Source organism: Homo sapiens, chromosome 3 (assembly GCF_000001405.40).
Source record: "Homo sapiens chromosome 3, GRCh38.p14 Primary Assembly".
Classification (NCBI taxonomy): Eukaryota; Metazoa; Chordata; class Mammalia; order Primates; family Hominidae; genus Homo; species Homo sapiens.
Window position 1 is genome coordinate 91,474,014 of NC_000003.12, and position 26,477 is coordinate 91,500,490.

At 36.3% G+C, this 26,477-nt stretch overlaps 1 pseudogene across 1 annotated transcript in view, besides 1 other annotated feature; it reads right to left on the reverse strand.

Moving 5' to 3' along the window:
- Positions 1–26,477, reverse strand: part of LOC101930420 (DNA primase large subunit-like) — a 139,540-nt pseudogene that overhangs the window by 99,778 nt on the left and 13,285 nt on the right. Inside the window, exons 2-3 of the transcript NR_172933.1 lie at positions 14,867–14,939; positions 9,755–9,941 (exon numbers count right to left, since the gene is read on the reverse strand). The product of NR_172933.1 is annotated as a DNA primase large subunit-like (transcript). The remainder of the gene's footprint in view (positions 1–9,754; positions 9,942–14,866; positions 14,940–26,477) is intronic.
- Positions 1–26,477: part of a centromere (Linear centromere model derived predominantly from reads generated in PMID: 17803354. This region does not represent an actual centromere sequence, as long-range ordering of repeats and unmapped WGS contigs is not provided by the model. For details of model production, see http://arxiv.org/abs/1307.0035.) that runs on past both edges of the window.

Here is a 26,477-nt window from a genome sequence, read left to right on the forward strand (position 1 = left end):
AAGCATGCTGTCATCAAGGACAGAAACCACAGCTACAGAAAATGTGCATTATCAATGTTGTACTTAATATCCAATAAAACCAGCTTAAAGCAATTCAGAATAACAACACTATGAGCAATCTGACAGGACACATGCTTTGAATTTATTAGAAGAATTATCCAGTTCAATGTAATACTTAACAAAGCTAGTCGCCGAAGAGATTTAATATCCAAGTGCCAAGTAAAAGAATATTTTCATGGTATTCATACTTTAAATAGAGTTTTGTGCATGCTCTCACGTATAAGTGGGAGCTAAACATTGAGCACCCACAGACATAGAGATAGGACCAATAGACACGGAGCACTACTAGAGGCAGAAGGGAGGATGGACTGAAAAACTACCTATTGGGTACTATGCTCACTACCTGGGAGATGACGTCACAGCACAAAATATATTCAGGTAACAAACCTGCACATGTACCCCCTATATCTAAAATAAAAGTTGAAATTTTAAAAATAAAAAATAAATAAATAAAGGTTTGATTTTATATCTCTTGCACCCAGGGTGATGCTTTTTTCAGGTAGACAGGCTTGTAAATTATAATTACAACTAAGAAAAACATGAAAAACTTTACTCTGACTAATGAAATTTTATTTGTATAAAGCATAGGTGCATTTATTTCAGAAATACGGGAAATTATTTCAGGAATAAGACGTTCAAAACTTTAAATACTTCTTGTGAATCATTCACAAATCCAAAAAATCTGATTCAGCAACCTAAGTGCAATTTTCAAATTTCTCCATCCTTCACTGACAAGGGTTAACTCAAAGAGCTTTATTTTAACATTTTAAATATATCAATATTAATATTCAACAATTTAAGGATAAAAACCCTACATTATGAAACCAATGTTTTTTGGAGTAAGGTATACTGTGAAAAGCAATTGGTTTGCTATAAGATCATACAACAATGGAATGTTCTCTTGGAAATGGTTGATGTTTTAATACTAAAATCTCTATCCTCAAGTATAATAAGCATCTAAATAAAACAGTATTCAAATATACTGAGAAGGTAAATTTAAAAAGTCTGGAAATGGAGAATTTTAAATCACAACAGTCAAAACCACAACAATCCCAAAAACAGGTAATAAAAAGCCTAAGTGAACGAGAAATAAATGGAAGAATTATTACTGTAAAATTATTTTATTAAAATAATTATAAAAATAAAGAAAATAATGGAAGAGTTAACAATGTTTTGCCTACTTTCCCCTCATTCCTTGTTCACTGTGTATTCTTGCTGTCAGTTCTTTCTCAACTAATCCATGTCATTCACTTTCTCCAAATCTTAATTCAAGATTGGTCTCTAACACGATCCACTCTAATAACTATCTTACTCCACATCACCTTAATAATAACTTTCCTTTTTACCATCGTGTTTTGGAACTGTTTTCCAATTCCTTCGTTCTCAATTAAACTATAACCAAGTAGATTAAAATTTTTAAATTTACTTTAAAGCAAAATAGTTTCTTAAAAATCAATGTTGGCCTATATAATCAGAAATCCAAAGTTAGGTGAAATTAATTTGAACCAAGTGGAAACTTTACTCATACTATTTTCTGCTTTTCAGTAAACCTGCATAGCATCCAACATTCATTATATTATTTTAGTAAATATTCAAAGTTGTGAAACTACACATATTTGACTAAATTCCAGTTATCAATTGACCCTATCCTGGCTGACAGGATCCTGGTTGGCACCTACCTACCCAACAAGACCAGTTCCTACTGGCCTACTAATTCAATCTATCTTTAGTAATTAGGCTAAAAAATCTATGTCTCCAGACTCCCCTCTTGCCACAATTACACTGGTACAGTTCAGGTTCCTACCACCTACAGGATGGACTACACTTTAAGGTCCTTTAAAGTGTTGTCCCTTTAACATGAAATTCCCTTCTTTCTCTGTCTGTACATTTGTATTTATCTGGTTTTTCCAAATAAATTTCTTGGAAGACTCTCATAAATAAGGTCTTGGAGGGGCCAGGCATGGTGGCTCACGTATGTAATCCCAGCATTTTAAGAGGCTGAGGTGGGCAGATCACCTGAGGTCGGGAGTTCGAGACCAGCCTGATCAACATGAAGAAACCCCACCTCTACTAAAAATACAAAAAAATTAGCCAGGCCTGGTGGCACATGCCTGTAATCCCAGCTACTTGGGAGGCTGAGGCAGGAGAATAGCTTGAACCCATGAGGTGAAGGTTGTGGTGAGCTGAGATCACGCCACTGCACTCCAGCCTGCGCAACAAGAGCGAAACTCCATCTCAAAAATAATTATAATAAATAAAATAAGGTCTTGGAAAGTCTTCATAAATAAGGGCTGTTTCTTTTATTTCAGTATCTTCAGAATGGTACATGTTCATGATAAACACACAATAAAAATCGGCTGAATGATCTATGCCAAGTAGATGGAATATGTACATATGTATGTATCTAAGTATATACATATACACACAAATATATTTCTCTGTACTTTTTATAAGAATCGTAATATGATACTATGTTAAATATTTGTATATTTGTATATTCTACCAATCCATATTTTTATTTAGAAAAATACATGGACGACAACAAATTTGATTCTGGGAATCTATATTTCTAACAAATTCCCAAATGATGCTGATGCTGAGATCTACTGCTCTTAGAAATAAAAAAGCAACTAAAATGACTTAAATTCTATAACTTGTTAGAAACAGCTCTATCTAAAAAGAACCAAAACAGATAAAGATTATTTTTTCTCATATCAAAAGCCAAACTTTAAAGATTTGGTAGAATTTACCATGTATTCAGCAAAATATAAATAAATAATATCTATGAACATGTATGAGAATTTATTTCTATGTAAATAATATGGAAATTTCCATGTATTAGTTTATTCAATAAACATTTATTGAGTGCCTGCTATGAGTCAGGCACTGTTCTAGGTGCCTGAACATGCAGCAGTCAACAAGAAAGACAAGATACCTGCTTTTATATAGTTTACATTCTAATTGTAGGATACAGATAATAAATGAATAAATAAGCAATAAATATAAGGTAGCCATAAGCACCCAAAATTAAAAGAACATAAGCTGGTAGCAAATAACCAATATCATTTATTGGAATATATATGCTAGCCGGAAAATAGTTTCAAAAGGCAAGAAAAATAATCCAAACTAGTAACTCTGAATAACTGTTTTATAGACAGATGGCTAATTTTTACGTATATAGGACTGACTTAATACATCTGACAGAGCAGGAGCATTGCCGTCTTGGACAAGCACCGTCATTTTAAAATTTACGTTGATCAAAAACTGCCTAAATCCAAAGGGCATCAGCTTAATGGCTAAAGTCAGCATGACCATAAACCACAAATAACATCTGTGACCAGAAACACACCAAACCCCTCCCTGACCAGAGACATGCCAGCCCCGACATAACCTCCCCTCCAGCTGGAGAGATGTCAGCCCCAACATAATCTCCTCTCCGACCAGAGACATTCCAACCCTGCCATAAACTTCTCCCCCACACAGAAACATTCCAAGCTCTCTCACCAATAAATACTCTCAGTCTGTAAGAGACAGCATTACTGACCAAACTCGGCCAGAAGCCCCACTCAGGTTTATTCTCCAAAATAAACCTGTCTTTGACTGTTGAGCTGCTTTTTCATGTTTCTTTCCTCCTTCTTTAAGTCTTACAACATCAAATTCCTAATAAAAAAATAACAGTGAGCATCAGAACCTTAAGCTGCTTCCACAATCCATTATTACTACTCAAAAATGTTTATAACAGAAATTATGTGCATTATAACACAAAAACTGCTTAACCTTAATAAAAGGTATCTGAGACACAATACTTTAATATTTATACTTTGGATGACAGTTACAAACACTAATACAGGTGTAAATTATTTTAGAATACAGACAACACATTCCCCTCCAACATTAAGTATAACATTAGTTTTAAAAGCAAAGTGTTAAAAAAAAATGCCTGCAACAAGCACAAGTAAGTAAAGATGGGAGGAAGAGACAGATACCAATCAGGCAGTCAATTCAAGAACAGAGCTGCGTTCGAAGTTAGGGTAAAGAAATATTTGGTTCCAGGCAGTATATCTAGGAAAGGTAGTTGTAGCTGCAGAGTTAGAGCTCAAAATTGCTGGAGATATTATACCAGTCTCTGCTGACTCAAAAGTACTGGCTAAGTACCCAAAATATTTGCTCAGACTCACATAGCAATGTATCCCAAATAAGTCACAATGAGGACACAAATATTAAGAGAAAGAAATCAGACATTATGATCATTTGGGAAACAATAGTACAGAAAAATTCCAGTTGAAATTGACTGTTACCACATCACTTTTCTTACACTGTTAGGACATAAGCTGTCCAAACAGAAGCTGTTATTTCAAATCATTCGAGCTGGGTTCAACACCCAAGTCCTTTAATTAACACTATAATAAATGTTTAACATCTTCTATAATCATCCTAAAAAATATCCTATAAGCAGTATTTTAAGCCAACAATTTTTATACCTCTTAAGAATATTTTTAATTGTATGTATCACTTAACAAATAGATACAATGGTTCAATTAGAGAATATTGTAATTTAGTATGCCTTAGTTTATTACATGTCATTGAAAAAACATGTAAACGATATAGTTGAGAAAAACATGAACATTTACAATACGGACTATGTAACAACAGAACACTAAATAGTCATAGAAAGTCAGAAATGTGTCTTATAATCCTTTAGTTAAAATAACATTTGCTGTAATTAATAAGCTAACAAAAATATAGACTATATGTTATCTAGAAAACTAAAAAAATTATTTATTTTCTTTTATAAGAATTTTTGAAAAAAGTTTGCATTGCAAAATAAAAATTCCATAATAAAAAAATTTAAACATACAAGTTAAAAGACTACTGATGATATTGCTACACAGGCTATTCCAGATGTACATAAAAGAAGGCAGGTCAATGAACAAGTGTCCAAGCCAAAGACTTAGTACTCAGGGTAAGAATCCATATAGGCTGGTGCAGCTGGTTTTCCCTCTCTACTTTGCTTTTTCTTCTCTCAGTTTACAGCACAAACCAAGCTAAAATGCTAGCTCAACTTCTCTCTTTTCACTTCAAAACAACCCAGCTCGCCAGCTGGGCATGGTGGCAGTAGCTCAGACTTGTAATCCCAGCACTTTGGCAGGCCAAGGCGGGTGGATCACCTGAGGTCAGGAGTTCAAGACTAGCCTGAGCAACATGGCAAAACCCCATCTCTACTAGAAATACAAAATTAGCTGAGCATGGTGGTGCATGCCTGTAATCCCAGCTACTTGGGAGGCTGAGGCAGGAGAATTGCTTGAACCCTGGGAGGCAGAGGTTGCAGTGAGCTGAGACTGTGCCACTGCACTCCAGCCTGGGTGACAGAGCGAGACTCTGTCTCAAAAAAAAACAACAACAACAACAACAACCCAGTTCTTGACTGGGCCATGAGATGCCCAGACATTTGGTCAAACATTACAGTGGGTGTGTCTGAGGGGGTGTTTCTGGATATGATTAACATTTGAATTGGTAGTTAAAGTAAAGCAGATTGCCCTACCTAATGTGAATAATTCTCAACCAATCAGTTGAAAGCCTAAACAGAACAAAAAGCCTGACCTCCTGTGAGTAAGAGGGAATTTCCTTCTGTCTGACTTCCTTAAACTGGGACCTCATTTTTTAAACTGAAACATTGACTCTTCCTGGGTCTCGAAGCTGTTGGCATTTGAGCTGGAACTAAAGCTGACCCTTGAACAACACAGAGATTATAGGCAACAACCTCCACCCCTCACCCCATACAGTTAAAAATCCATGTATAACTTTTTATTCCCCAAACACTTAACAACTAAAACCCTACTGTTGACCATAAGCCTTACCGATAACATAAACAGCTGATTAACACATATTTTGAATATTACATATATTCACTGTATTATATATATTCACTGTAACCTCACAATAAAGTAAATTGGAGAAAAAAAACATTAAGAAAGTCATAATAGTCCAGGCACAGTGGCTCGCACCTGTAATCCCAGCACTTTGGGAGGCTGAGGCAGGCAGATCACCTGAGGTCAGGAGTTCAAGACCAGCCTAGCCAAAATGGTGAAACCCCGTCTCAACTAAAAATACAAAAAGAGAAAGAAAGTCATAAGAAAATACATTTACAGTACTGTACTACATTGATCAATACCATAAGTTTACATTATCTATTTACAAGATGAACCATCTGTCTGAAATAGCAGTCAACCTTAGCTGGAGACCTCAATCTATATTACATATCAAGCAATTCAACTTTTTCTTGTAATATCATTACTTTTCTCTGATTTGGGGAAGCATTTCCAGCATTACTAGTGACACTTCCTATGAGCCCCACGGTGTTATTCAAGGTTTATGATATTGCACTGAACACGATGAAAAATACCCGAGAACTGTGAGAGATCACTTTACTGTAATATACAATTTACTGTGCAAACTGCTTACGCTGAGATGATTAGCATCACAGAGCGTTTTAAGCAGATACTTGCAACACTTATAGGCTCACCACAATAGCAACAGGGTGGGGCTATTAAATTACTATAGTAGCACAGAATGTGCTACAGTTAATTTTATGTAGGTTACTGCATAAAAGATAATACTGCATCTTTACATTTGTTTACATTTCTCTCTACTGGGAATAGCACCATGTATGGTCTGTACATTTGTGTGCATGTGTTTTGATAAATTTTAACTTTTTGCAATAAATTTCTGTATATCTCATGTTAGTAAATAAGACTAGTATATATTTTATACATTCATATATACTTAATTTTTTCTTACTTTTTTTGATATTTCTAGGCTATGTGGTTCATCTGCAAGTTTTTTCGAATTGTTGCATATCCCCAGAAAATTTTCCAATATACTTATTGAAAAAAATCCACATATAAGTGGACCCATGCAGTTCACACCTGTGTATTTCAAGGATCACCTTGTACACTATCATTCTTCTGGTTTTCAGGCTTTTGGATTCAGGCTAGAACTACAACATTGGCTCTCCTGGGTCTTCAACTTGCCAACTGCGGATCTTGAGACTTGTCAACTTCCATAACCCCCATCTCTCTCTCTATCTCTCACTCTGTGTGTGTGTGTGAGAGAGTGTGTGTATGTCTGTGTGCATGTGTAAGTGATAGAAAGACAGACACACACACAGTTCCATTTCTGTGGAGAACCCTAATATATCTACCTACTTAAGACATCAAATTCCTAATAAAAAGATCAAAAACTGTTTTAAATTAATAATGCATAATGATGTCAATGGCAGAGCAAAATTCTCACATCGCTTGAAGAGGGTCTAATTTAAAACCTTTCTGAACAGTCATTTCACAGCATGCATTAAAACTTTAAAATTGTGTGTAGTTTCCTTTTTTTTTTTTCTTGAGATGGAGTCTTGCTCTGTCACTCAGGCTGGAGTGCAGTGGTGCGATCTCAGCTCACTGCAACCTCCACCTCCCAGGTTCAAGTGATTCTCCTGACTCAGCCACCCCAGTAGCTGGGATTACAGGCACCTTCCACCATGCCCAGTTAATTTTTGTAGTTTTAGTAGAGACGGTATTTCACCGTGTTGGCTAGGCTGGTCTTGAACTCCTGACCTCAGGCGACCCACCTGCCTCAGTCTCCCAAAGTGCTAGGATTATAGGCGTGAGCCAACCTGCCCAGCTGTGTGTAGTTTCTTATAATTTTATTTCCTGGTGAATGCATATATATATATATACACACACACACACACACACACACACAAAGAATATAATCAAAACTATAATCAATTATCTATGTCCACAGGATATTAGCTATTTGACTCTGTTATTTATATTAGTAACATATATAACAGAGTCAAATTAGACACAACCAAATGTCCAACAATAGGAGAATGATTAAACAAATTACATCACTTTCAAAGGATATATTATGTAACTCATTAAGATATTTTCAAAGATTGGTCAAAAATATGGAAAAATAATCATAATATAATGACAATTTTTAGAATGGTGAAAATCAGTGGTGTTTAGTTCTGTAGACTAGAGTAAAAGGCTACAATGTTGACAGTGATTATTTCAAATTGGAGGATAACAGGTGAATTTTTCTGTATTTTTTATATTTTCTATAATTAGAATAAATTACCTTTAAAAAAATATAAAAAACATTATCCAAAACTGCTCAAAGAAAATCCTATTAAATGACTTCATTAAGATTCTATGGATAATTGTCGATGAAGACAGTTTTTAAAACAAATCTGAAAAAACTGTAACAGCTTTTTATAATGTTATTTTTAAAAATCTAAGCTTTTTAATAAAGTATATAGCTACAGACATGAGCTGAATTGTGATCTCCTAAAAGTCATTTGTTGAACCCCCTAACTCCAAATCCAACTGTAACTGGAGATAGGGCCTCTAAAGGGATAATTAAGGTTAAATGAGATCAGATGAGTGTGGGGCCCTAATCCGGTAAGACTAGTGTATTTATAAGAAAAGGAAGAAACACCAGGCATGCACATGCACAGAGAAAAGGCCATGTGAGCACAAAGCAAGAAGAAGGCCACCTGTAAGCCAAGGAGACAGGCCTCAGGAGAAACCAAATCTGCCAATACTTGGATCTTGGACTTCCAGCCTCCAGAAGTGTGAGGAAATACACTTCTGTTTTTTAAGCCAACCAGTCTGTGGTATTTTATTTTGGCAATGCTTGCAAACTAACATAAAACATAATAAAGTACTATAAAATGTACCTGGTAAATATTCTTTCTTCTATAATTTACTTTTAGGAGGCAGCAAATCAAGAAATAAACAGTAAAAAATGGTCTTCATACCACAGTGTCATGGCATAGAAGGGGCAAGAAATCATATTTCCAAGTAAAATGTTATTAGCTGGCACTATTAAAGAGAAATAAGGCATAGGATTGGGAATATAAGCACTGCAGATAGGGTTTTTAAAAAGTTGTTCAGGTTTATAGTAATTATTGTCCATCTAAAAATGTTCTATAGGCTAGGTATGATGACTCAGGCTCACAGCTGTAATCACAACCCTTCAGCACGCCAAGGCAGGAGAACGGCTTGAGCCCAAGAGTTTGAGACCATCCTGGGCAACATAGTGAGACTCTATCTCTACAAAAAATTAAAAAAAGAAAAAAATTAGCCAGGCATAATGGTGTCCACCTGTGGCCCTAGCTACTGGGAAGGATGAAGTGGGAGGATCACTTGAGCCCAAAGGTCGAGGCTGCAGTGAGCCATGATTGCACCATTGCACTCCAGCCCAGCCTGGGCAACAGAAGAACACCCTGTCTCGAAAAAAAAAACAAAAGTTTATAAAAGATTCTGCATAACATAATAGAAAATATTTTAAATTGTTTCATTTTATTTGTTCATGATATCTCCCAGTGCTCAAAACATTATGTGCATATGTATAGACACACATACATTCCTACAGATATATAACTCTGAAAGCAATTTCAGTCTTATAATTACTACTGGCAGTATACCTACAAAGGAAAACATTCCTTTCCCAATCTTTTATATTAGATTAATATGCAAGTTTCTTTTTATCTAAACTGAATTGTCAACACATTTATCCTTTTAGAATTTTCAACTACACTGCAGGGAGCATATTTTAAAAAAAAATAGACCGTTTCATTTTCAGAGCAAATTAAAATATCAGGTACCACTCTGATATTTTTTTTCAAAATTACCTTGTCTGGATCCATCTTTCCTTTGATAAATTCTTGCTTCCAGAACTACAATGCCTGTTCCAAAGTTAAACCAATGCCCTTCAGAAATAGGTCATACTGCATTCGGCCTCAATGACGAAGATGGTGATTTTTCCCGCAAGGCTTTATGTAACTGACGCATGCAAGGTGGGAAGGATTTGGTAGAAAGCTACAAGAAAAAACAGTAGAGTTTTAAGTTAAGTGGAAGACTTATCAGGTCCCCTGTAATATTTGTTATGGTTGCTAATTCAATGTAATTGGAATAAAAAAACAAACACCATAAGAAAGTGCCACTTTATTACTGTGGTTACAGATGACTCTTATCTGTATAAGATGTTTCTTATTAACATTTTTTATTGGTTACAAGTTAATATAATATTTTAGATACTTTGGATTAAATAACATACTATTAAAATTTATTTTACCTGTTTTTTTAATTTAATTAAACTTTTTCTTTGAAGTTAACTATAGACTCCCATACAGTTACAAGAAATAATACAAAGAGATAGCATATATCCAAATTCCCCCAAAGATAAAATCATGTACAACTACAGTAGATTATCACAAACGGGATACTGACATTGATACAATCCACTAGTCTTATTCAGGTTTCCTCAGTTGTACTCATGCACTTACTTCCGTATTAAATTTTATACAGTTTTGTCACATGTAGGTTCATACATCCACCACCACAGTCAAGATGCAGAACAGTTCTGTCACCACAAGGATCTCTCATGATTTTATAACCACCCCCATCTATCTTTTGCACCCTGCTCCCCTCCCTCAGCTCCCTAATCTTTGGCAGCCACTGATCTGGTTCTCCATCTCTATAATTTTGTCATTTCAAGAGTATAATAGAATCATATAATATGTATTGTTTTGAGATTGTTGTTTTTTACTCAGCAGAATTCCCTCAAGATTCACCTAAGTTGTATATAAGCTCATTTCTTTATTACTAACTAGTTTTCCATGGTATGAATGTATCATAATTTATTTATTCACTCATTGAAGAACACTTGGGTTGTTTCCAGTTTGGGCTATTTCAAATGAAGCTATTATGAGCATTCTTTAAGAGGTTTTTATGTGAACATAAGATTTCATTTCCCTGAGATAAAAGTACAATTACTGAATAGCAGATGAACTTTTAAGATAACTTAAATACAAAGCAGAAGACAAAAATAAGAGAAACTTCTCATAAGGAAAATTCAAATAAGTATGTTAAAGAAACCAAGTTAAAAGGAACAAAGTGTAGTTAGTGCCTTAGTGCCAAAAATGAAATATCATTGCCTACTTTAATTTTTCACTTACAGTTTCAATTGCATTCTCTATGACTTCCTTAAATAACCTCCCAAGACTTAAATTCTTACTCCCTCACATATGCCTTAGCAAGTTCACTTCATCTATAAGAAAGAGCAGGTCTCACTTTGCTTGACTTTGTTGCTCCCTCTAGTGACCATCTAGTTTCTCTTCATTCTTTTACAGTAACAACTTCTGAATGTTTCCATCCCCAGTCTAGTTCATTCAGACCTATATCCTCCCTTGGTAGAACTAACTAGAAAGCCTTTCAGCTCATTTTCATGAGACCATTTTTGTTCCTTCATATTAATATCTGATTTTTTTCTAAACATTGTTCTAATCCATACAATCAATATTCAACATCCTTAGTATGAACATGCAAGGTTTCCTCAATATCTGGTAACTACTTTTCTTTTTTTTTCTTCTTTTTTTATTTTTTTTGAGATGGAATCTCAGTCTGTTGCCCAGGCTGGAGTGCAGCAGTGCCATCTCAGCTCACTATAACCTCTGCCTCCCAGGTTCATGCGATTCTCCTGCTTCAGCCTCCTGAGTAGCAGGGATTACAGGTGCCTGCCAACATGCCTAGCTGATTTTGGTATTTGTAGTAGAGACAGGGTTTCACCATGTTGGCCAGGCTGGTCTCGAACTCCTGACCTCAGGTGATCCTCCCACCTTGGCTAGATGGCATGACCCACTGTGCCTGGCCAATAACTACTTTTCAATTATACATAACAGAACAATTATTTATTAAGTGTTCTGGAAAATAAGCTGGGACCTAATTGTCCCCTTTAATTCAGTTAAGGAAAAAGACACAACAATTATTATATTCACTACTATGTAAGTTAAACACATGAAATAAATGATAAAAGGAGGGCTCCAACAAGGGCAAAACTTGAGCACCACAGAAGCACTGTGACAGGGAGCCTGGGAAAGCCCAGTATATTATCACTACACCAAAATGAGTCCTCGGCTCCAGTCCACTGGATTATTCACTATCCCATGACCACACAGTCATGCTCTGTAGCTTCTCAATTTTCTCACTCTGCTAGCCCTGCCTGGCGCACCCTTCTCATGCACATGCCATGTAGCCAAAGCCAAGTCATCATTCAAGACCCAACTCAATTTCTATTTCTTTTGGCACATTCCTTGATTACTTCTTATTCATTCAATCAACAAATATTTATTTAACACTTACTATGTGTACAGCCCTGGGGAACCAGTAGTGAACAAAGAAGTCAAAAACCCTGTCCTCGAAGAGCTTATTTTTAATAGGAGGAGACGGACAATGAATACAGACATTAAAAAGATAACATCTGATGCCAAAACACTGGAAGTGAAATAGAGAAATGAAATCAAGTGTGATTAGGGGAGAAGTACTTCAATTTGGGTGGCCAGGGAAGCCTTTTTGAGGAGATGGCATTTCAAGTAAGACAAAGTAAGTTGGATGCTAGTGAAATGAAGATCCTGAGAAGGAATAAACGTGGTGTGCTAAAAGAGAACATAAGATCCATGTGACCAGAGCAAGTGAGTGAGCCGGAATGGAGCAGAAGATAAAATAGAAATGATGAGCACATATGGCTTCAGAGGCCTCAACATGAGTTTGGATTTAAGTCTACATATGATGAAAACCCACTAGAGGGTTCTGACCAGAAGACTGATGTGATTCAATAAACAAAGAGAACTCTGGCTGTTATGTAGTGAAAAGACTGTATGAGAGTAAGAACGGAAGCAGGAGGGATACTTAAGAGGTGTGGGCAGTAGTCCAAATAATAAAAATTAAAAAGATAGTGTCTGGCTATATACAGATAGAAAAATGATCATGGAAAACAAGCAAACAAAAGAATCATAAGTCCAGGATAGGGGATAAATTATCAACTTGGATCTTGCAGAGGCCAAGAACAATAATAAGAATAGCGCCAGTACACAAGACCATTAGCTAGGTGTTCAAATCATCAACGAATACAGGTGTGGGGGGAGGGGGTGGAATAGCAACAAAGGAGGTATCAGATGATATAATAAGATCACAAGGGCTTTAAAGGAGCTGGAACTGTAACAATGGAAGGCAGAGAAATGTGGACCAAGAAAGACACTCACCGCATACCTATATACGAACTCGGGGGGGAAAGTTGTCTCTACTTGAAGAGGCCCACAGGGGAAACAGCATTGAGAAAGCCAGATTTGTTAGAAGAAAAAACTAAAGAAAACATTTGGAGAAGAGTTGCAAATACCAAGGGATATGCAAATGACATGCTGTTGTGAAGATCAAACAATATAGATACAGAGTTAGGAGGCAGTCCAAAAAAAGATACATCTGTATTACTCACCACGGGGTCTCAGGAACAGACCCATAACAGGATCATCATCATAGCACTTAACATTATATTGCTCATTATTTATTATGTTGTCCCTCTCCCTCATGTAAGGTCCATGAAGGCAGGGACATTTTCTGTTTTCCTCACTTCTGTATCCACAGCACAATGGCTGCTACATAACTGATGGGCTCAATACATATCCATTAAATGAATTAATATTTCTATGAACTCCAACAGTATCCAACCAAATTCACATTTGCTTGTGAATGGGGAAACATCTAGCTAGAACTAAGAACAGAATTAACCTCCAACCATTCACATTATATAAGCACAAATCACATGAGTGGAAGTGAGAAAGGGGACTGTTAGAGATAAGTGTTTAATAAAAAAATTAAAAGATGGGACATCTTTGAGAACAAATTTCAAATCAACAAATCAACTGTGTAAAGTAGGCAACCCTATTGTTATTTCTAGACATATTAACTGCAAGTACTTTTTTGTAATTTTTCAAATGGAAGATGACCTATTCATTCTGATCCAACCTCACGGTCTTTCTCTATTAGTCTTATTACAGTTCTTGTTTCCAAGCATTAAAATCCCTGTGTATTTTTAATTTATTGTGAATAATTTGGTAGTCGTCCAACCCAAGATTATTTATGGCTGGCTTATTTTCCCTTTGTATATGGAGTGCAAATGCTGTTATGTATTAAAGAGAAATTCTACAAGTATGGCAAAGTACACTACCCTATGGAACCACAAAGTCAAATGATGCTAAAATAAGCTACCTATTAATCTCATAGCCTACACTAGTTGATGAATTGTCCTCTCCCCCTGAAATTCATATATCAAGTCCTGACCTCTAGTAGCTCCAAATGTGACTATATTTAGAGATGGGGCCTTTAAAGAACTCATTAAGATTAAAGGAGGCCATGGGGGTGGGGCTCTGGTCTCACATACTCAGTGTCCTTACAAAAAGAAGAGACACCAGGGATGTATGCAAGCAGTGGGAAAACCACAGGAGAACACAAGGAGAAGGCAGCCATCTGTGAGACAAGAAAGGCCCTGGAAGAAATCAAACCTACTATCTCTTTGATCTTGGATTTCGAGCCTCTAGACTGTGAGAAAATAAATTTCTGTTGTCATGACAGCCCCAACAAACTAATACACTTAGTGTTTTCCATTTCCCCTTTATTAAATGTATGCAGTATTTAAATGTAAACACAAACTCCATTTAGCTATTTAAAAGAATTCCTGTTTGGAATAGTTGATTAAATTCGGTTTTCATAAAAGTACAGATAATTTTCTGATTAAATGATTTTCCTATGATTTTTTTAAAATCATATAAGTAGGACATGGGATTTTCTTTAAAATTAATCAGCAAGCAGTGAAATAGTATTCTATCTCCTCACCCAAAAGTCTTTGATTTAAGAAAATCTATGTTCTCTCCACTGATAAAGTTCTAAGTTTAAAAGAATGTTCTACTTACCAAATCAATCTGATCTAAAGAAATTTTCCCAACATTTCCCTGGGTACTGTAATCTTGGCCAGTGTAGGAATGACTTTAAAAAAAGAAAAAAATATATTAAAACAGATTCACAAAATACTTTTGATCCCTTTGAAGGAAATTTTTAAAATTATGAATATGATTAAAATAAGAAAGCATTTTACATGTAAACCTTAGCAGAAACATAGCCAAGTGTTTTAAACGTATTTAATGAAATTAATTTAAGTAACTTACCCCAAAATAATTGAAAAATATAGTAACAGTCTGAACCTCCTGACTCCTAGTCTAGAGCACCACTTCCATTTTTTTAGAAGCATAATCCAAGTTGTTAAAGTTCAAACCTCTACCATTTATCCTTTATTAACAGCACGACAACATAGCAAAAAAGCAGCTGGAACTTAAATTGGGAATCATCACTTAAAAGTAGTAGGTGAGCAAGTTACTTAGTTACTCTCTGTATGCCAGGTGCCTTATTGACTAATGGCGATAATAATGCCTGCTTTGCAGTGTTGATAGGAGGTCTGAATTGTAAGAATTTTTGTTAAAGAGCCTGACATAAAGCAATCACTGTTTATTAAAATAAATAATATCTGAATAGCATTTTACAGTGTACAAAGAGTCCTCAATAGCCTCTAATTAGATCCTTGCAACACCCTGAAAGAGCGTTTCTGTATATCATTTGATGAATGGAGGCTTGGAGGAGTTAGAAACTTGTTAGGATCAGAAAGCAAGTCAGCAGTACAGTGGGAACTCAAACCTTTTGATTCCTAATTCCCCATTTTTTCACTGCACCATATCATCCTTTTCCCTATAATAAATTTTCCTGCATGATTATCTTCAAATTAAGAAACATAACTTGGTATATACTACCTTAAGCCACCCACCTCAGTAATGTTTCACCTCCTTCACACAACACACTACTCATGTCCAACTCCATGAACACAGACTCAGGTGCATGCAGGTGTGACATAGCAAAAAACAGCTGCTAGATTACATAGAAATTCACAATCAAACCAAAGATTATACAAATACCACAACTAAAGGGAAACCCTGGAGTGAAGAGTCATTATGATCATAAAGAATTCCACCGGGGCAACAGAGTAAGACTCTGTCTCTACAAATAATAAAAATTAAAAAAAAACAAAAACAAAAACAAAAACCTGGGCATGGTGGCATGCCTGTAGTCCTAGCTACTCTGGAGGCTGAGGTAAGAGGATTGCTTGAGCCAGGGAGATCAAGGCTGTAGTGAGCCATGATCATGCCTGAGCATTCGAGCCTAGGCTATAGAGCGAGACTCTGTCTCAAAAAAACAAACAAACAAACAAACAAAAAATCCAGATACTACTTTCTATCTGCTCAGTTACAGATTCTTCCTGCTGAACCACATATACGCTCAAGATGCTCTGTAGACAGGCTGTTGTTTCCATAATCAATCAATTTTACTGATTAAACAATGGGTATGGATTATGAAGCAAAACCACAATATAGCTGGCTCACACCTGTCATCCCAGCACTTTTGGAGGCTGAGGCAGGCAGATGGCTTGAGCCCAGAAGTTCAAGACTAGCCTAAGCAACAACATGACAAAACCTTGTCTCTACAAAAAATACAAAAATTGGCCAGGCGTGGTAGTGTGTGCCTGTAGTCCCAGCTACTCAGGAGGCTGAAGCAGTAGGATGGCTTGAGCCCAGGAGGTGTAGGATGCAGTGAGCTGAGATCATGCTCCACCCTGGGTGACAGAGTAAGACCTTGTATCAAAAAAAAGAAAAAAAAAAGGTACAGATTTCCCCTCCCTACAAGTCCTCCTTCTACAGGCTAAGAAGGACCTGAGAATTACTCTGAGAGCAGAATGGGTAGACTAATACTGAGGGAAACCAGAAGATGCCACCCCCAAAATATGAAGGATTACTGAGCGAAGGCAATTTAAGAAGAAGCAGATTCAGGAAAGCTCTCTGCCCTCCCTCTATCTGCCTAAAAGCAAAACACAGATTTACAAAGACAAAAGTCATCCTGCCCACCTTTTACCAGTGAGAACAAAGGTTGATCAGTGAAGATAACTTCAGATTCTTATTATGTGGAGATGATACCAGAGGAAACTATATGAACAAGCTTTACCAACTGGTCTTTATCTGCCATTTATTTGCCTTCTCACAAGTTGCTGCCACCAGAGACTCAAAGTCCTTTTCCTTTGCCATGTCACTTCTCTAGAAATGTATTGCTCTTAGTTGAATTTGCTACGTAAACTTGAATTGAAAGCACCTTTTTTGAGAACTACTTACTTTCTGGATGTTTTCCATGCATATGTCTTCCATAGCACACACATGTGCTATGGTTTGAATATCTGTCCCTTCCAAAACTCATGTTTAAATTTAATCCCTAATGTGGCAGTATTGAGAGGTGGGATTAATGGATAGAGGATTAATAGATTAATGAGTTGCCATGGGAAGGAAACTTGTGGCTTTACAAAATGAGGAAGAGAGACTTGAGCTGGCATGTTAACAGACTCAGCCCCCTCGCCATGTGATACCCTACACCACCTCAAGACTCTTCAGAGAGTCCCTACCAGCAAGAAAGCTCTCACCAGGTGCACCCTCTGGACCTTGGACTTCCCATCCTCCATAACTGTAAGAAATAAATTTGTTTCCTTTATAAATTACCCAATTTCAGATATTCTGTTATAAGCACAGAAAACTGATACAAAATGTTAATAAACTTGTTTGTTTTTCTCCTATTAATCTGTCTTTTGTTACATGGGTCCTTTCCAACCTATAGGACTTGAAGAAAAAATTCTTCTTCTTCCCCTATGAGACCATATCCTAAAACACATCTCCTCTTGTATTATTTTCCCTTGCCTTGAATTATCTTTCCCTTGAGTAACACCTTTCTGACAATGTGTTATTGGATTCTATGCATTCCATTAATTGCAGTAGCACAATGGCATATAAAACTCATGCAAAGTTAAATTGATAGCTGCCATTTAACTTTAATGTTTTAGACTTTAGTACACAGCATAACCAGATAATTGTTTCAGTGAAATCTCAGGAATAAAAATGTTATTTCTTTTTCCAACATGTCTTACAGCATGGGGCATTGGGAATGGCAGTAGGCTAGGAGTATGAAGACACGTTCTTGGGTTTTTTATTTTATTTTTTTTTTTTTTGAGATGGAGTCTCGCTCTGTCTGTCGCCCAGGCTGGAGTGCAGTGGGGCGATCTCGGCTCACTGCAAGCTCCGCCTCCCGGGTTCACGCCATTCTCCTGCCTCAGCCTCCCGAGTAGCTGGGAATACAGGCGCCCATCACCACGCCCGGCTAATTTTTGTATTTTTGAGCAGTGACGGGGTTTCACCGTGTTAGCCAGGATGGTGTCGACCTCCTGACCTCGTAATCCACCCGCCTCGGCCTCCCAAAGTGCTGGGATTACAGGCGTGAGCCACTGCACCCGGCTGGTTTTTGTTCTTTAAATACCAGTTCTGCAAACTGGGACAAGTCACTTAACCATTCTGATTTGCATCATCCTTATTTGTAAAATGGCACTAATAATGCCAGCCCTGCCTAAATTAACAGAAATACTGGGAAATCAAATGAAATAATGTATCCAAAGTGCTAATTAAAATCAGTAAAGCACACTCCAGCACAAAGAGCAATTGCATTCTTGACCAGTAAGTACAGAAATGACAGGATTGTAAGAGAGACAACAGCATGATCCTGTAGAGGAGCCATCACCCAGCTGGGAAGTACTAGGCCATGCCATTGACCCTTATAAGTCTCAGCTTCTTAGTCTATCAGCTGAAGGTCGTGATTACAATGATGTAACAGGATTGTTCAGATCAAATAAACAAATATGAAAGGCCTCTATAAATGGTAAAATGATGTACAAACAGAATTATAGTTATTGAATAAATGAAGCCAAATGATTACTATGCCACAAGGAAGTTGTTCTCAGCCCAGATTAATGCATACTATACTAAGTACAAAGAGAAGACATATAAAGAGGACATATACATTTGCCTAAATGACAGTATAAAATGCTTGTTCTTCCACACCTCACTAGAATATACAAAAGGGCTAAATTTCAAGGAAAAAAAGAAAGCAAGAGAATGCTAGCAACGATGAATGCAAAGACTTTATTGGTATAAATGCCTACAGAGAGAATATAAGTAGACTTAAACTGTGTAGACATCAAACTTCTAAAAATATTTTTGGCCAGTCCTAGTGGCTCATGCCTCTATTCCCAGCACTTTGGGAAGCCAAAGCAGGAGGACCGCTTGAGCCCAGGAGTTAGAGAGCAGCCTGGGCAACATATAGCAAGACATCATCGCTACAAAAAAAAAAAAAAAAAATTAGCTGGGTGTAGTGGCACGCACCTGTAGTCTCAGCTACTCAGGAGGCTGAGGTGGGAGGATTGCTTGAGCCTAGGAGTTTGATGTTGCAGTGATTTATGATCACATCACTGCAGTCCAGCCTGGATGAGGGATTGAGACCCTGTCTCAAAAATAAAAAATAAAAACTCTATAAAAAAACATATACGTAACAGAAAGAAGGCCACCAGCCTAGTGTGGGCAAGTATGGAACCCATGGGGGTGGGGAAGAATATGATAGAAATGAAGATGTCAAGTATCAGAATTAGGAATGACATTTCTCCTCTACTCATCTATAATCAGAAAGGCTTACTTATGTCTGCATTAGAGGAAGTGATAATAAACATCACAGCTACTTAAACCTATTTGAACTAGTTAAGGATAGCTGGGGGGCAGGGGGATTGTTAGATACAACACAAGAAAGGCAGATGGTGAGAAGCCTGTATCCCATGCTCTGCAGGCAGTGAAAAATCATGAAAAATATGTGAGGCAAGAACTGACATAATCCAGTTTACACTTGAGAAACAAAGCAGTGTGGGGAAATAATTAGAAAGGGGAGGGACTGGCAACTAACTGGAAGAATACTGTAGGCAATGTTACATCCAGGCGAGGAAAGGTGAGAGCCTGAGTAAAGTAGTGGTAACGATGGAGAAAGGAAGGCAATAGATGGGTTCAGGAAATTTTCTGGAAAAGAATGGATATGCTTTGATGAAGGAGGTAGAAAAGTCAAGAATAACAGATCAGTTTCTAGCCTGAGTGACTGAGTGCTTCCAAGCCACGATTTCACTTTCCACAAGATAAAAACTATTTAGCCTAAACAATAAAACTGTAATTCAGGAATAAACTTACAAAGAAATTATGAAAATACAAGTTTTGATAATAAATTTTCTTCACTCATCTTTACAATGTTTCCAGGTGAACAGTTTTTTCCTCATAATAATGAATCATTGACAGAAGCTCAAAAATCAAGGTATAAGAAAAACAAATAATGCTGCCATAAAATAAAAAAACCCTTAAAAGCAATTCACATTTGCTCATGAAACTGGCTTTTACCTGGAAGTGCCAAAAGATGGTTCTAAAGGAGAATCCTAACAGGTAGCCAGGGAAAGAGACGCACCCTTCTCCATTCAGAGCTCAGCGCCAGCTTTCTATCATACTGCTGCCAAATAAATGAAGCTGCTATATTAATGAATTGTCAAAATATATTCTTATTTTCATGATTTGAAAATGATCGATTTTATGAGGGAACATGTCTTAGTAATTATATTGGGAAAACACAGAAAGTCATTTTTAAATGCAAAAAACATTTCTAATTGCTTCAACATCTATAAACACATGCAAACCCAGCAGAAAACAGTTTTCTGTCCATTTAAAATACTCACAGCTTTATTTTGAGAGACATTCACTGTCACCAACATAGTTTTTTAAATAAGGGATTCAGTAAGCATAAAAACTTTCCTACTCCTAATGTTTCATAAAAGAATAAAGTGAGATGTAACACAAATACCATTTTTTCAATATAGAAGACCAAAGAACATTTTAATGGGTCACAAAATTCAAATTATGTCATTAACGACTATTTTGCCAAATATAAAGGGCAATGTTTGATTAATCAGAGAATCTTGAAAAATCTGAATTTGATTTCCTTAATTCTCAGTTTAGCCACTAATTTTCCACAAGTTTAAAAGGAAAAAAGACAAGGCAAGCTATGCATCAATTTTTTTCATCCATAAATATGTGTGGTAATGGATAAGGAATTGCAGTGATTTACTTACACTCCCTATGCATAATTTATTTGCTAAAGTATCAGGTGAAAGGCATTAAGGGTGAAATATCAGTTTTCTCAGGTTATAGAAAAGTAGTGAAAACAATAAAGATGTGGTTCAGTGAATATTCAATTACATTAGAAATCTAACTGAAGACACTGGATTGTAAAAGGATATAGTGTATTTTTGCTAAAATGTAACAATTACTGCACTGTAACAGCAAAATAAACACCTTCACTACCGAAACAGAACCATATAAATGCATAAAACCCAGGACAAACTACTTTTCTAATATCACTAGATTGTCAGATTCTCTCTCTATAAGACACTTTTTTTCCACATCCCTGTTGTTGTCCTTATCTGGATGTAAAAGATTCTAATTACTAAAACAAACAAACAAAAAAACACCACGCACACACCTTCAGGAATCCCTGTACGACCCCCCTATTTCTCAGCGTACATTTATTAAGCACCTTTGTGGCCAAGGAAGGGTCCAAGCAGTGAAGGATCCAGACATAGTCCAGGGAGGATAATGTGATGAGTGCCACAATGCTCAAAACAATTGTTCCTCAAGCCCGCAGAGGGGAGGTCTCTTCTAAATGAAGGGTGAGAGGAGAAGGTAGGCAATGTGGAGCATTAAAGATTTTTGAGCAATACAATGGCACTGAATAGAGAGAGTTATGCTTTAGAAACACAGACTACAGGATTCTAGAATGTTATTAGAATGTTGTTGAAATGCCAGACAACAGGTCTAGGTTGAATAGAGAAGCCTGCTGAGCCACAGGGGGAGGTGAACTTGGGGAACTGAAATAGAAGTCTGGGATGAAAGGAAGATGACAATCAGTAGGAATGAGCAACTAGGGAGTAAAGTGGAAGAATTAGAGATTGTAGTCGGAAAATAATTTAAGCTTGGAGGTTTAGAAGTAGGATGTGATAATCACAAAAAAAGTCAAAGACCTGGTTGTTTTAATATCTTTATCATTTGTAGTTTAACAATGTTGAATATATTAAAACATTCTGACATTTTGACCAGGTTCATAAAAGTATGTAATTAAAGTTTATTAAGGTTGTTGAAGGGGTTTTAAAGTAAGAATGTGATAAGGGCATAGCATTTTGGAATAATAAAGTCTTTTTCTTGGAATCTGAAGGGTTATCACATGGAGGGGCAGAAAAGAGAAGCAAAGCCAAGAAAATTCTAAAAAGTAGTTTATAGATGAAGAGGTTAGGTTAGAGAAAAAACACAAGCAAAGGCAGGTGGGCAGGGGGTGGGGGAGAAATTCGGTAGGAAATTAGGTAGGTCCTGAGATAGGTCTTTAATCAAAGGCCATTAAAATATAATTTTAAAAACCCCTTTAAGTCCTACTTCCTTTGTAATAATATAGTGCTAAGTTTCTGTTTTCATGAAAATTTGAGGTTTTCTCCAGGTTTCTAAACACCTAAGTGTACATATAATAGTGCCTTCTAAGAAAACAGAATTTTGCAATTGTGTATAACAAACTCTGCCTACACAAAAGTAATCTGGTGTTTTTGTTTTGTTTTGAGGTGATGGTCTTAAATTATATATTCTGCTATAAGAGAATTCACGATACACAAAATATATAAAAGCATCCTTTTTTTTTTTTTTTTTTAAATTTGAGACGGAGTTTTGCTCTTGCTGCCCAGGCTGGAGTGCAATGGTACGATCTCGGCTCACCACAACCTCTGCCTCCCTGGTTCAAGTGATTCTCCTGCCTCAGCCTCCCGAGTAGCTGGGATTACATGCACGTGCCACCATGCCTGGCTAATTTCGTACTTTCAGTAGAGACGGGATTTCTCCATGTTGGTCAGGTTGGTCTTGAACTCCTGATCTCAGGTGATCAGCCCGCCTCGGCCTCCCAAAGTGCTGGGATTACAGGCATGAGCCACCGTGCCCAGCCAAAAGCATCTTTTAATGGTTGCATTTGTTCAATAAACTTACATAAAACTTAATTAAAACACAGTCGCACCTGAGGAATTTTCCCTCTCATATTATCTCACTCATTAAACATAAGAGGCCAGCATGGCTAGTTTTCCAATATAGCTTAAAATCACAGTAAACAGAAAATTATAAAGCTAACAGAATTTCAATAATTTATAGGCTGAAAAGAGAAAGGTTAAGACTTTCAAAACATACAAAACACATATTTACGCAACCAAATTTAAATGATCCCATTTTAAATCCAATTAAATCAATCTAATTTTGGAGAATGCAGGGGTTGGGGAATGACCAAGACAGCAAGGCATAATTAATCACATCCACACTAAACTAGAGTTTCCCCCAAATACTGTCTCACAAACGTCTAATGTACAGAGCAAAAATACCATGGATATATAAAAGGATAAATCTGAAACAGATACATCTGCACACATCTGATCTGTGAATTGTAGTGAAAGGCAGACCTACTCCTGGACTTTGTAGAAACAACAGAAATTTAAGTCCTGTTCAATGTACCAGGAATATCAATATGAGCACTTAGGTACTCAACAGGGAATTGTTTTTGAGTCTTGAAACTCAGAGTTGAAAACAAAAAGCAGAAATTACATGAAAGTGGATTTATGGGTCTCATGGCAAGATTAGCTGGTTAAGAAAAATAATAATAATCTTTTCATGCTGTGGCACTGATTGTTAGCAGAAGATGGATCATCACACCTCAGCTCCAAGAGTGGTATTCACCAGCTCCACTACTGTGACATAAATGCCACAAGGCATTACTGACAAAATGGGAGGGCAAAAGTCAGCTTTTCATGGGTGATTACAACGCCAGTCATTTTCTCCTTTTCAGACTACTGATGAAAATTTGACAGAGTAAACAGAAAGTAGTGGAATAGTTGCAACACTTTAGGAGTTGGCTGCAACTTCTCTTCATTTGTATAATTTCTCCATGTCCAGTTTGCCCAAGGCAATCATGGAGGCATAAAAGAACCAGGCAATAAATAGAGAAGCGTGATTAAGAGGGTAAGTTTCAGAATTCAAGAGTCATGCAAAAGTTTGCATACAGTCACTATCTGTGTGATTTTGCAAAGATTTCTTAATTGCTTTCATCTTAATCACTGGTAAAACAGGGATTATAAAACAGATCACAAAAGTGCTGCTCTCAAAGAGTTGTTGTGAGGACAAATGAAACGTCTGTAGTGTTTATCACAGTATTTTTCACTTAAATTGTAATAAACATCATCATCATCTCGGCCTAAATTTATTATTCTTAAACATTTTGGATTTTTTTCTCTGTTCTTAACGTTCACCAATTTCTTCCTATGAATACTAGAAAAAATAATTTCCTTCCAACCTTCTTCATACTATCACATAAAATGTTTAACCTCAAAGTATTAATAGGAGAATTTAGATGTCCTTGAATAACCTGATATCTGGAAGATTTTGTGAGTCTATCATTATAGTCTATATTTACATTTTTAGGAAGTGTCCAAAGTACAAATATTCAACTTAAACAGTAGAGATTTAAATGAAATCCATTTTTATAAAGCTTTACTGTTATGTAGTATCCATTAGCCAAATGTGACCATTGAGCACTTGAAATGTAGCTTAAACTAAATTGAGATGTTCAACAAGTACAAAGTACACACTGGATTTCAAAGACTTAGTACATAAAATGTAAAATATTTCATTCACAATTTTTCATAGTGATTACATATTAAAATATTTTGAGCTGGGTGTGGTGGCACATATCTGTAGTCCCAGCTACTCAGGAAGCTAAGGAAGAAAGATTACTTGAGCCTAGGAGTTCAAGTAGCTGAGCCTGGGCAAAAGAGCAAGACCCCATCTCTTAAAAAAATAAATAAAAGCTATTTTGAATAAGAGTTAAATAAGGTATGTTATCAAAATTAATTTCACTGAGTAATTTAAAATTATATATAATTATATATGTGGCTTACATTTGTTGCTCTCATTATGATTCTACTGGATAGCATTATTGTATAGTGAGGACACAATGACATAAAACAATCAAATAGTTCGCTGGAGGACTTGGTATACCTATAGAATAGCCAGATGACTTGCCCTGACTTCTATTTGCTACACTAAGATTAATCTCTGCCAGTCATAAACAAAATACAGGCTGCAATTAGGCCAACTAAAGGAAGTGCTTCAAGTTTATTGTAAATGTGCTTGTTTTTACAACATTTTACTTGGGAATCAAGTTTTTATATTTAAGTCATAGTTTGCCATTTATAGTATTAGGGAAGCAATCTTGAATTCTGATTAGCTTAGCGGTAACCTGAATTGTTTCTCTGGGGACAAAGAAAGCTGTGACATGTTTATCTGCGAGGCTTTGGGGCTGCTTGGCCAACCTCAACCTCAATACCTAATTGCAACTGTCCATTCTCTCATTTGTAAGAAGCCATAATAGACAGGATGCAAATGTGGCTTACAGCAAAATCCTAAGCCAGAGTGGAAAGAGTTCCTCCCTCATCCTCAGGGGGTATTTCTCTGCCCTCCCTCCCCACCAGCAGACAGAGTTTCTGACATTCATAAAACAATAACATATAAAACATATTTCCATTCTTTGTCAAGCATTTCCCAGTATTCTTAAGCCTAAAGAGGTTAACACCATTTACTCCTTTCTATCTGACAGGTTATAGTTTATCATATTTTTTAAATTAGCATAAAATAAAAAAGCAGTGAAGAAAGCATCACAAATAATCAAAACTGATCTCTGCATCAAAGAAACATATTTATTTGGACCATTAAAATGTTAGCTAATACATCTTTCAAAATGAACTGTAATCTCCTACATCATTCCATAAAAGTATACCAAGTTCCAATACAGCCTTTTCACATAAAGCCAGGTGTAATAATAGCACAAATGGAAAAACAATTCAGGAAGAGGAAATAAATGTTTCTGTACATTACCCATATATCTATTTTTTGCAATCACAATTTTACCCACTTAGGGTGTTAAAAAAAAAAAACCCTATCCACATAAACTAAGCCACTCAGACATTTAGAAAGCACAGTCCCTGCACTTTGGATTTGTTGGGTGGGTAGGAAATCAAAGGAACCAAAGCTACAATATATCATTTCCTGTGGTGAAGGATATCACAGGAAAATTCAGTCAACAGCTGTCACCACTGAAATTGAAATGAGTTTGGGTTTTTTTTCTCCAGCTAAATCCGTAGTAAATGATATCCAGCTTGTATTAGCCCAGGTGATTTTCCCTGCAGTTATTCCAAATGAGAACACAATCAATAAAATTCTGTTTTAAATTGGTTGAATGTAGATTATTTTTCCACAAGCATAAATTTTATTCAACTTTATTTAAAAAAATGTCTCCACAGAAAACTACCATCAGACAACATGCAGTGTAAGATCTATTTTTCTTTATAACTGGGAGAAATTGTATGATTCCAAGAGGCTAAAATATCCATAAAAATCAGGACCATAGGGGTTTCCATATCAGGTAGGAACTATAAATAGTACAACTGCTACTTTATTTTAT